At 41.8% G+C, this 13,199-nt stretch overlaps 1 protein-coding gene across 2 annotated transcripts in view; it reads right to left on the bottom strand.

Moving 5' to 3' along the window:
* The window catches only part of STPG4 (sperm-tail PG-rich repeat containing 4), a 68,318-nt gene that overhangs the window by 34,943 nt on the left and 20,176 nt on the right, over positions 1–13,199 (bottom strand). Inside the window, exons 4-5 of one of the 2 annotated variants that reach the window (NM_001163561.2) lie at positions 8,263–8,327; positions 8,008–8,062 (exon numbers count right to left, since the gene is read on the bottom strand). In NM_001163561.2, coding sequence (NP_001157033.1) covers positions 8,008–8,062; positions 8,263–8,327 — 120 coding nt within the window. Of the gene's footprint in view, positions 1–6,514; positions 8,063–8,262; positions 8,328–13,199 lie in introns of those variants that run through there. The other variant, NM_173649.3, reaches the window with a different exon arrangement.

The following is a 13,199-nucleotide window of genomic DNA, read 5'->3' on the forward strand; positions in this document are numbered from 1 at the left end:
CCCAAAATCCTTAGCCACATCTGCAAAATCTCTGCCATGTAAGGTAACATCCATAGATTCCAGGCATTAGGGCATAGACATATCTTTGGGGGCTATAATTTAGCCTTCTATACCACCCACATACAGAGAGCTTTCAATCAGCCTTTTAGTCTCTCACACACTTAAATGTTAGTGAGATCAAAAGATTTTTCACCTTGTAATCTGAATTTATTTATGAATTGTCTATTTATGTCCTTTATCTGTTTTACTTTTCTGTTGTTTTTCCTATAGATTGTTATGATAATTTTATAGATAATGCTATTAATCCTTTATCTGTTAGGAATGTTGAAAATACTTTTCCTAGTCTACATTTGCCTGTTAACTTTGTTTGCAGTTTGTTTTCTGATATACAAAGCATTTTTAATGTTATATAATCAAATCTAGTATTTATTTTCCTTTGAAATTTCTTCCATTGCTATTATCTCAGAAAGTTTGCTTATCCTTAGATATATACTAATATATTTTCTCCTGGTTTAATGGCTTCAAAAGTATCAAATTTTTTAATCAATATGAAATTTATTTTAATGTGTGCTATGAAGTGAGAATCTAACACCTTTTCCAAGTTATTTAATAATAAGTTACCTAACATATCTTTTCCTTTCCCTACTGACTTGTCATACCATCTTTATCAAATATAAAAATCTTGTATTAATAAAAAAATCTTGTATTAATATATTCTAGGATCTGTTTCTGAGCTCTGTTCAGTTTTCTCAATTTTTTTTTTTGCAGATGTTTGCTATGCGGTCTTTTTTGATCCTGAGTTTGTAACTACAAATAAATTATAGTGCATCAAACTATCCCAAAACAATTTTATATTTTATTTCTGTTTTTTGTTTGTTTGTCTGTTTGTTTTGTTTTTGTTTTTGTTTTTGAGTCTGAGTCTCACTCTATTGCCCAGGCTGGAGAGCAGTGGTGTGATCTTGGCTCACTGCAACCTCCGCCTCCCGGATTCAAGCCATTCTCCTGCCTCAGCCTCCTGAGTAGCTGGGATTACAGGCGCATGCCACCACGCCCAGCTAATTTTTGTATTTTTAGTAGAGACGGGGTTTCACCATGTTGGCCAGGTTGGTCTCAAACTCCTGACCTCAAATGATGCGCCTGCCTCAGCCTTCCAAAGTGCTGGGATTACAGGCGTGAGCCACTGTGCCCAGCCAATTTTATATTTTCTTATTCTTTCAGATGATTTATATAATTATTTATTTTTTTGACATCCTACTGACTAGCTATTTATCTAAAAGAGTTCATTTTTTATCATAACTCATGGTCATGCATTTGGAAATATTTAGAAATAGAAAAGCATTTTCATATCTTTAAAAGGAAAGAAACAGAGAGGTGCTTCCTTTTTGTTAATACCATGATCTATTGAATATCTCTAGCGATTTAATTAATTAATTCACCAAATACTATGTGCCAGTCACTTGCCTAGGTGCTAGGTATACAGGAAAGAAATCCCTGCCTTCATAAGCTTACGTTCTAGTGAGGGGGAAAGATAAAAACAGAGTAGATACATTTTAAAAGGTATTGTGTCTGACAGTTATGAATGCTATGAAGTAAAAAATAAACCAAGGAAGGGGACAGCAAATTTGAATAGGTGACTTGGGAAGACCTTCCTGAGAAAGTGGTATTTCAGTCAAGACCTAAAGAAAGTAAAGGAGCCGAACATTTTCTTCTACACTTTGCCACAAATTGGTTACTCATTTCTCGTATATCTTCAGATATACTTTATGTATATCTTAAATCAATTGCATTAGTCATTCAGAGCTTATCTACTATGATGAGCAAAATGTTAATCTTACTATAGCAAAAGGATTCATAGTATATTTTATTTTGAAAAATGTTTATGGCCACATAGTAGGTATATATATTTATGGAGTACATGAGATATTTTGATACAAGCATACAATGTGTAATAGTAACAGCAGGATAAATGGGGTATCCATCACCTCAAGCATTTATCATTTCTTTATGTTACAAACATGCCAATTATACTCTTATTTTTATTTTATTTATTTATTTATTTATTTTTTTGAGATGGAGTCTCACTCTGTTGCCCATTCTGGTGTGCAGTGGCGCGATCTCAGCTCACTGCAACCTCTGCCTCCCAGGTTCTAGCAATTCTCCTGCCTCAGCCTCCTGAGTAGCTGGGATTACAGGCGCATGCCACCACAGCTGGCTGATTTTTGTATTTTCAGTAGAGGTGGGGCTTCACCATGTTGGCCAGGCTGGTAGGCTGGTCTTGAACTCCTGACCTCAAATGATCCGCCTGCCTCCCAAAGTGCTGGGATTACAGGTGTGAGCCACCGTGCCCAGCCAATTTTTAAATGTACAATAAATTATTGTTGACTATAATCACCTGTTGTGCTATCAAATACTAGATCTTATCATTCTATCTAACTATATCTTTGTATCCATTAACCATCTCCACTTCCCCTTTCTCCATCCTCCACTACCCTTCTTAGTCTCTGGTATCCATCCTTCTACTCTCTATCTGCATGAGTTTGATTGTTTTATTAATAATTTTTAGCTCCTACAAATACATGAGAACATGCAAAGTTTGCCTTTCCGTGCATGGCTTATTTCACTTAACATAATGACCTCCAGTTCTGTTCATGTTATTGCAAATAGGAGGACCTCATTATTTCTTATGGCTGTGTAGTACTTTGTTGTGTATATGTACCACATTTTCTTTATCCATTCATCTGCTAATGTACACTAAGGTTGCTTCCAAATCTTGGTTATTGTGAACAGTGTGCTGCAACAAACACCAGATACCTCTTCAATATACTGATTTCTTTTCTTTTGGGTATATACCCAGCAGTGAGATTGCTGGATCATATGGTAGCTCTATGTTTACTTTCTTGAGGAACCTTTGTACTGTTCTTCGTGGTGGCTGTACTAATTTACATTCTCACCAACAGTGTACAAGGGTTCCCTTTTCTCCACATCCTCGCCAGCATTCACTATTGCCTGTATTTTGGATATAAGTCATTTAAACTGGGATGCAATGATATCTCATTGTAGTTTTGATTTGCATTTCTCTGATGATTAACGATGTTGAGCACCGTTTTATACACCTGTTGGCCATTTGTATGTCTTCTTTTGAGAAATGTCTATTCAGATCTTTTGCCTATTTTTTAAACAAATTATTAGATTTTTTTCCTATTGAGGTTGGGCATGGTGGCTCATGCCTGTAATTCCAGCACTTTGGGAGGCCAAGGTGGGCAGATCGCTTGAGCTCAGGAGTTCAAGACCAGCCTGGGCAACATGGCAAGAGCCCATTTCTACAAAAAAATACAAAAATTTGCTGGATGTGGTGGCATGCACCTGTAATCCCAGCTACTTGAGGGGCTGAGGGGAAGGATTGCTTACACTAGGGAGGTCGAGGCTGCAGTGAGCTGTGTTTGCATCACTGCACTTCAGCCTGGGTGAAAAAGCAAGACGCTGTCTCAAAAAAAAAGACCTTTTTCCTATTGAGTTGTTTGAGCTCTTTATATATTCTGGTTATTAATCCTTTGTCAGACGGATAGTTTGCAAATATTGTCCCCCATTATGTGGGTCGTCTCTTCACTTTGTTGATTGTTTCCTTTGTTGTGCAGAAACTTTTTAACTTGATGTGATCCCATTTACACATTTTTGCTTTGGTTGCCTGTGCTTGTGGGGTGTCACTCAAGAAATCTTTGCCCAGACCAATGTCCTGGAGTTTCCTCAATGTTTTGTTTTGATAATTTCATAGTTTGAGGTCTTAGATTTAATTTTTTTTTTTTTAACTAGAGACAGGGTCTCCCTATATTGCCCAGGCTGGTCTCGAATTCCTGGGCTCAAGGGATCCTCCTGCCTTGGCCTCCCAAAGTGCTAGGATTACAGACGTGAGCCACCATACCCAGCCAGATTTAAGTCTTTAATCCATTTTGATTTGATTTTTGTAAAATGGCAAGAGATAGGGTTCTAGTTTCATTCATCTTCATATGGATATCCAGTTTTCCTTGCACCATTTATTGAAGAGACTGTCCTTTCCCCAATGTGTATTCTTGGCACCTGTGTCAAAAATGAGTTCACTGTAGATATATGGATTTATTTCTGGGTTATCTATTCTGTTCCATTGGTCTCTATGTCTGTTTTTATGCTACTACCATACTGTTTTTGCTACAATAGCTCTGTAGTATAATTTGAAGTCAGGTAATATGATTCTTTCAGTTTTGTTCATTTTGCTCAGGATGACTTTGGCTATTCTGGGTCTTTTGTGGTTCCACGTTAAGTTTTAGGGTTCTTTCTTCTTTCTTTCCTTCCTCTTCTTTCTCTTCTTTCTCCTCTTCCTCCTCTTCCTCTTCTTCTTTCTTCTTTCTTCTTTCTCTCCTTCTCCTTCTTCTTCTTCAGACAGGGTCTTGTTCTGTTGCCCAGGCTGGACTGCAGTGGCACACACATGGCTCACTGCAGCCTTGACCTCCTGGGCTCGAGTGATCCTCCCACCTTAGCCTCGCTGAGTAACTGGGACCACAGGTGCATGCCATCATGCCCAGGTAATTTTTAAATTTTTTGTAGAGATGGAGTCTCTCTATGTTGCCTAGGCTGGTCTTGAACTGCTGGACTCAAGCAATCCTCCTGCCTCAGCCTCCCAAAGTGCTGAGATTATAGGCATGAGCCACTGCACCTGGCCTCAGATGATTTCTTGTTGCTCATTAATGTCCTTTCCTTTCAGAATTTGAAGAACTCCTTTTAGCGTTTCTTGTAGGACAGGTCTGGTGTTGAAATGCCTTAGCTTTGGTTGTCTGGGAAAGTATTTATCCTTCACATTTTAAGGATTTTTTACTGAATATACTATTCCAGGATAAGTTTTTTTCTTTCGGCACTTTAAATATGTCATGCCACTCACTCCTGGTCTATAAGGTTTCCACTGAGAAGTCTGCTGTCAGATGTATTGGTGCTCCATTGTATGTTATTTACTTCTTTCCTCTTGTGCTTTAGGATCCTTTCTTTGTGCTTGATTTTTGGGAGTTTGATTATTAATGTCTTGAGGTGGTCTTATTTGGGTTAAATATGCTTAGTGTTCTATAACCTTCTTGTACTTCAATATTTCTATTTTTCTCTAGGTTTGGAACGGTCCCTGTTATTATCCCTTTGAATAAACTTTCTACTTCAATCTCTCTCTCTATCTCTTTAAGGCCAATAACTCTTAGATTTGCCGTTTTGAGGCTATTTTATAGATTTTGTAAGCATGCTTCATTCTTTTTTCTTTTGTCTCCTTTGACTGTATTTTCAAATAGCTTGTCTTCAAGCTAATTCTTTTTTTTTTTTTTTTTTTTTTTTTTTTTTTTTTGAGACAGAGTCTTACTCTGTTGCCCAGGCTGGAGCGCAGCAGCACAATCTTGGCTCACTGCAAGCTCCGCCTCCCAGGTTCAAGCGATTCTCATGCCTCAGCCTCTCAAGTAGCAGGGATTACAGGTGTGCACCACCACACTCAGATGCTTTTTGTATTTTTAGTAGAGACAAGCTTTTGCCATGTTGGCCAGACTGGTCTTGAAGTCTTGGCCTCAAGCCGTCTGCCTGCCTCAGCCTCCCAAAGTGCTGGGATTACAGGCATGAGCCACTGCACCCCATCCAAGCTCACAAATTCTTTCTTCTGTTTGATCAGTTCTGCTATTGGGAGACTCTGATGTATTCTTCAGCATGTCAATTGAATTTTTCAGCTCCAGAGTATCTGCTTGATTTTTTAAAATTATTTTGATTTGTTTGCTAAATTTATCTGATAGAATTCTGAATTCATTCTCTGTGTCATCTTAAATTTTGTTGCACTTTGTCAAAACAGCTATTTTGAGGTGTCTGTCTGAAAGGTCACATATCTGTGTCACTCTGGGATTGATCACTCGTGCTTTATTTAATTCGATTGGTGAGGTTGTGTTTTACTAGATGGTCTTGATACCTGTATATGTTTGCCGATGTCTGGGCATTGTAGAGTTAGGTGTTTATTGTAGTCTTTGCAGCTGGTCTTGTTTGTACCTGTCCTTCTTGGGAAGGCTCTCCAAGTATTCAAAGGGAATTAAGTGCTGTAATCTGTCTTTGGTCACCGTAGCTGTGTCTGCATTAGAGGGCACCCCAAGCCTAGTAATTGCTGTGATTCTGGTAGACTTGTAGAGGTAATGCCTTGGTAGTCTTGGATAAGATCTGAGCGAGTTCCCTGGATTACCAGGCAGAGACTCTGGTTCTCTTCCCTTCCCTTCCCCCAAACAAACGAAGTCTCTCTTTGTGCTGAGATGCCTAAAGCTGAGGGACGGGTGACACAAGCACCTCTATGGCCAATATCCCTGGGACTGCACTGGGTCAGAGCCAGCATGGTACTGGGTCTCACCCAAGGGCTGCAGTAACTACCGCCTAGCTACTGCCCATGTTCACTCAAGGCCCAAAGGCTCTTCCCTTCAAGGCAGCATGCTGCCCCCTGGGCCAAGTGCAGATCAGAAATACCATCTGGGAGCCAGGGCCTGGAGTCAGGAAACTTAGGAATTTATTGGGTACTCTATACTACTGCAGCTAAGCTGGCACCCAAGCCAGAAGACAAAGTTTTTCCACTCGTCCCTCCCCTCTCCTCAAGCAGAAAGAATCTCTCTATGCCACTCAGGCCTGTAGCAAGTACTGCCTGGATACCACTAATGTTCACTCAAGGCTCTTCAGTCAGCTTGTGAGGAAGGCTGCCAGGCCTGGGTCTCTCCCTTCAGGGCAGTGGGCTCCCCTCTGGCCCAGTGGGAGTCCAGAAATGACATCCAGGAGCCAATGCCTGGAATTGGGAACCCCAGGAGCCTGCTTGGTGCTCCACTTCACTGTGGCCGAACTGGTACCCAAGCTGCAAGACAAAATCCCCTTTACTCCTCCCTCTCCTTTCCTCAAGCAGGAGTCTCTCTCTGTGACCACTGTAGCTGGGAAAGTGCTGGATCACACCTGAAGCAGCACAGCACTGGCTAAGGCCTGCAGTGAGTGTTGTCTGGCCACTGCTGGTGTTTATTCGAAGCCCAAGGGCTCTTTAGTCAGTAGGTGATGAATCTTGCCAGAACTGGGTCCTTCTCTTTAAGGCAGTGGATTCTCTTCCAGCCAGAGATGTGTCTAGAAATGTTGTCTGGGAGCTAGGGCCTGGTATGGGGGCCTCAGGACTCTGCCTGAGGTGCCCTATTCTGCTGTGGCTGAGCTGGTATCCAGATTCAAGACAAGTCCTCTTTACTCTCCCCTCTCCTCCTCTCAAGCAAAAGGAAGGCCTCTCTCTTGAAGCTGCAAGCTGTGCTGCCTGGGGCTGGGGGATGGCTGCTACAAGCACTCCTTTGGCTGCCCCAGCTGGTGTCTCACTAGGTCTTGTGTACCCTAAGTCCACTGCCTCTGAGCCCAGCAGAGCACCTGAACTTGCCCAGGAACTGCAGTCCTTGTGGCCGAGACTGCCTTTCAAGCTTATTTAGGACCTCAGAGCACTTCAGCCCACAGTGGTAGGGAGAGCTGGAACTCAGTATCGAACGGCTGGGATGGGCAATTCCTGGCTGGCTAGTGCTGGTCTAAATGCTCCCTCCATGGGCACTAGCTGAATTCTGTCCTGTGTTGCTTTCCCTGTTACAGGCAGCACGGTGTTCCCGTGCAAAGTCCCCCCGTCACGGCATTCCCTCTTCCCCAAGGGCAGATTCTCTCTTCATGCCACGTGGCTGCTGCCAGGGGATGGGGGAGGGTAGTGTCAGTAATTCAAGACTGTCTTTTCTACCCTACCCTCTTCAGTGCCTCTTTCCTTGATACAATGTTAAAACCTGGTATTGCGATCCCACACTTGCTTTTTGGTTCTTACAGAGGTGTTTTCTTGTGTGGATAATTGTGTGGATAATGGTGTTCCTGCTAGGGGGAACGATCACTGGAGGGTTCTATGTGGCCACCTTGCTCCACTCCAGAAAGCACAGCGTATTTTAAACATCAAATTCATCATGAGTTAACTGTCTACATTATACTTACGGGAATAAAATAGGTTGTTGGGAATCTTTGAACTGTTGAGCGAAATACACAGCTCCTATATTTCAAAATAAAAAAGAAAAGTGATTTTCTAAATCTATTTTTTAAAGATCTTTGTTAACTTATTCCCTACCTTTCATTAAATATTTTAAAATGTTAATTTGCATATGAGGTGCATAAATGAGGTTTAAAAGCCAGGAGTATTGGCGTGTAGGTATGTAAACAGAAAGGCAGCTTATTTAATAAGTATATAATTACCTGGAAGCATATTTGGGAACTGGTGCAGGAAGCACGTTGTATTGCCCCGGAGAAAGCTGAAGTGACTGCACAGAATGGACAAGGACACCAATAGATTAATAGAGGTTGTAAACTCACTTCGTTATCTGTCATTCGTAATCTTTTATTTTATGACCATACAACATTGGATAATTCCTTCTTTACTTTAATAGTGGAAAAGGAAAATGTACATTTCCAAAGGTGGAGCTTCAAAACATTTAACATAGATTCGGTCTTCATGGTGAATTTTATAGACAGCATACCTGAGATGCTGCATAGGAAAATGTCAAATTGATCACAGTTTTTCTTTTTATTTTTTTGAGATGGAGTCTCGCTCTGTCGCCCAGGCTGGAGTGCAGTGGCGTGATTTCCGCTCGCTGCAGCCTCCGCCTCCCCAGTTCAAGCAATTCTCTGCCTCACCCTCCCGAGTAGCTGGGATTAGAGGTGCACACCACCACGCCCAGCTAATTTTTGTATTTTTAGTAGAGACAGGGTTTCACCATGTTGGCCAGGCTGGTCTTGAACTCCTGGCCTCAAGTGATCCACCTGCCTCAGCCTCCCAAAGTACTGGGATTACAGGCATGAACTACCGTGCCCAGCCACATTTTTTTTTCTTTTTTTGAGATAGGTTCTCTGTTATCCAGGCTGGAGAATGATATGGCATGAACATAATTCACTGCAGCTTCAAACTCTTGGGCTCAAGTGCTCCTCCCACCTCCACATCCCAAGTAGCTGAGACTTCAGGTGTGTGCCACTGCACCCAGCTACTTTTTTATTTTTTGTAGAGACAGGATCTCACTATGTTGCCCGGGCTGGTCTTGAACTCCTGGGCTCAAGCAATCCTCCTGCCTCAGCCTCCCAAAGTGCTGGGATTACAGGTGTGAGCCACTGTACCTGACCTGATCACATCTTATTTTTATTTATTTATTTAGGGACAAAGTCTCACTCTGTTGCCCACGGTGGAGTGCAGTGGCGTGATCACAGCTCACTGAAGCCTCGACATCCCAGGCTCAAGTGATCCTCCCACCTCAGTCTCCCAAATAGCTGGGACCACAGATGCGCACCACCATACCTGGCTAATTTTCTTGGTCTTAATAGAGACAAACTCTCACTATGTTGCCCAAGCTGGTCTCAAACACCTGAGCTCAAGCAATCCACCCAGTTTGGCCTCCCAAAGTGCTGGGATTACAGATGTGAGTCACTATGTCCAGCCGTGATCACACTTTAAATATTCTAGATTCAACAAATCAATTCAGCCATTTAGTGAGCCTGCTCTGGGGTAAAGCGCAGCACTAGTACTAGGGAATACAGTGGTTAAGAGAGCTACGGTCCCTGACCAGCAGGAGTGAGAGGCACCTACAGAAACAATCCTAACATAAACCACTGTCATCAGTGCTAAAAGACAGATTGAAGATATGGGGGTAGGAAGAGATTAAATCCAACTGGGTGACCTCAAGATGACAAAGATGATGAGATTTGAGGGAGGCTTTTAAGAAAGGCAGGACTTCCTCAAGGAGCTCAAGCAAGGGTCTTCCAAGAAAGAGAGGCCTCACATCTAACACTATTTCCATCAGGAAATTGTTGCAAACAACCCGGGTGGCTCCATTGCCCCTGGGTCTAGGGACATTAGCCCACAGTTATGATATAAGAATGTCAGGAACTGGTTAAAATAGACAGGAGAGGCTTAATGCCTGTAATCCCAACACTTCGGGAAGCCGAGGCATGTGGATTGCTTGAGGTCAGAAGTTCAAGACCAGCCTGACCAACATGGCAAAACCCTGTCTCTACTAAACATACAATGATTAGCCAGGCGTGGTGGTGGGCACCTGTAATCCCAGCTACTTGGGAAGCTGAGGCACGAGAATCACTTGAACCTGGGAGGCGGGGGTTGCAGTGAGCCAAGATCGTGCCACTGGACTCCAGCCTGGGAAACAGAGCGAGACTCACTCTGAAAAAAAAAAAAAAATAGGAAGATATGTGAAGGAAGGTAGGGAAAGAAGGAAGGAGAATGAGAAGCCAGGAGGAGAAGATCATCCAGACATCCAGAGCTGGCAGGGAGGAGGGGAAGAGTTATATTATAAAATCCTAGGACCTGAAGTGAATAATCCCCTCCACTCCCTATTATTTTTATGTCAGATTTTAAGAAACAATACCGCTTTTGTTAAAAAGGCATCTACCTCCCAGCACTCGCTGGCACATGGAAGTTCACTACTATATTTCACCCTGCAGCTGTCTTTCCCATATTAGTACACAACTTTGATTGCAGAAGCAGCTTTTTGTGGATAGAGTGATGATAACAGTCAATACAAATTTAATGGTGAAATATATGCATTTTCCTGATGCACCTGTGCTGCTTGAGTGCTCACTTGACATCATAAACACCAAGGAAACAAAGGTATTCTTGTGTCATTCTTGTGTCTTATAGAAGCACAGAAACACAATTTGAACTGGGCATTCCTGGGGGCCAGCAATGTCCTATTTCCTGATTCTGATGACAATTACGTGGATGTTTGCTTTCTGTTTTTAAAATGTGCATATTTGCTTTATGCTTCTTTCTCTCTCTCTCTCGCACATACACAGATATAAACAGGAGACAAAAAAAGAAAACTGAAAAGGGGAAAAAACCTCTTAAAGCAGTCATTTATTTATCTATACTGAGCAATCCATGTAAGATTTCCATAATGAAGTGCTCATGGAAAAACTATTAGCATTACTCTGGAAAGGAATATTGGTTACCTGTAACATCTATATTTGTCCTACTATACTTGGCATTTACCATTCTTTGCTACTTAACGTAATTGAAAGGGGGCTTTTTTTTCATAAAGTGTTGAATAGTCAGCTGCTTTATGTAGGAGACTGTTTTCCTGTTCATTGCTAAACTTGGTTCCATTTTCCTTGGGTCTAATGGTATATATATGTGCATATATATATTTCTAACTCCAACATATGCTTCTCAGTTCTTTTTTTTTTTTGAGACAGGGCCTTGCTCTGTCACCCAGGCTGGAATGCAGTGGCGCAACCATAGCTCACTGCGCTTCAACCTCCCAGGCTCAAGCGATCCTCCTGCCTCAGCCTTCTGACTACCTGGGACTATAGGCATGTGCAACCACACCTAGCTATTTTTTAAAATTATTGTAGAGTTGAGATCTCACTATGTTGCCAGGGCTGGTCTCAAACTCTTGGGCTCAAGCGATCCTCCCACCACAGCTTCCCTAAGTGCTCAGATTATAGGTGTGAGCCAACATGCCTGGCCAGTTCTTCGTTTTTAAGGCTTAGAGAATCTAGGCAAGATGCCAGTAAAAATATCTGATTCTCACTAATTAATGTTTCAATCCATGCTGATTAGGCACTCAAATCTTTTTTTTTTTTTTTTTTTTTTTTGAGACTGAGTTTGGCTCTTGTCGCCCAGGCTGGAGTGCAATGGCGCAATCTCGGCTCACCACAACCTCTGCCTCCCGGGTTCAAGTGATTCTCCTGCCTCAGCCTCCTGAGTAGCTGGGATTACAGGCATGCACCACCACGTCTGGCTAATTTTGTATTTTTAGTAGAGACAGGGCTTCTCCATGTTGGTCACGCTGGTCTCAAATGCCCGACCTCAGGTGATCCACCCGCTTTGGCCTCCCAAAGTGCTGGGATTATAGACATGAGACACAGCGCCCGGCCAGGCACTCAAATCTTATGAGAGCTTGAATGTGGCAGGATGGTATTAGTATGGATATATAATTCAGTTATGTTGCACCAAACACCATCAATGTCAGAAAACTGAAATAATGTGAAAAAAGCCAACCCTACTTACTAAGCTCTTGGTGTGACTACATATACACATACATATACATATACATATACATATACTTGACTTTATTTAGAACAGTTTTAGGGTCATAGCAAAATTGCAAGGAAAGAGATTTCCATATACTCTTTGCTCCCACACATGCGTAACCTCCATTATCATCATGCCACACTAAAAAGGTACAGACGAACCTACACTGGCACATCATTATCACTCAAAGTCCATATGTTACATTAGACCTCACTCTTGGTGTTGTACTTTCAAGGGTTTTGATGAATGTGCAATGACATGTATCCACTATTATAGTATCACAGAGTGGTTTCACTGCCCTAAAAATCCTGTGTTCTCCCTAATTATCCCTCCCTCCCCTCAACCCCTGACAACCACTGATCTTTTTATAGTCTCCATAGTTTTGCCTTTTCCAGAATGTCATAGAGGTGGAATCATACCATATGCAGCCTTTTCAGATTGGCTTCTTTCACTTCGTGATATGCATTTATGTTTCCTCCATGTCTTGTTATGGCTTCATAGCTCATTTCTTTTTAGTGCTGAATAATATTCCATTGTCTGGATGTACCACAGTTTATTTATCCATTCATCTACTTAGCAACATCTTTGTTGCTTCCAAATGTGGGCAATTATGAATAAAGCTGCTATAAACATCCATGTGCAGGCTTTTGGGTGGGTGTAAGCTTTCAAGTCCTGTGGGTAAATACTATGGAGCACAACTGCTGGATCTTATGTAAGAGTATGTTTAGTTTTTTAAAAAACGGCCAAACTGTCTTCCAAAGTGGCTATACCATTTTGCATTCTCACTAGCAATGAATGAGAGTTCCTGTTGCTCCACATCCTTGCCAGCTTTGATGTTGTCAGTGTTCTGGATTGGGGCCATTTCATATTTGTGTAGTATCTCATTGTCTTAATTTGCATTTCCCTGATGACATATGATGTGAAACGTTTTTTCATATGCTTTTTTGACATCTGTATGTCTTCTTTGGAGAGGTGTATATTAAGGAGTTTGGCCAATTGTTTAATTGAGTTGTTTTCTTATTGCTGGGTTTTCAGAGTTCTTTGTATATTTTGGTCAACAGTTCTTTCTCAGATATATCTTTTGCAAATATATTCTCAG

Source organism: Homo sapiens, chromosome 2 (assembly GCF_000001405.40).
Source record: "Homo sapiens chromosome 2, GRCh38.p14 Primary Assembly".
In the NCBI taxonomy this organism is placed as follows: domain Eukaryota; kingdom Metazoa; phylum Chordata; class Mammalia; order Primates; family Hominidae; genus Homo; species Homo sapiens.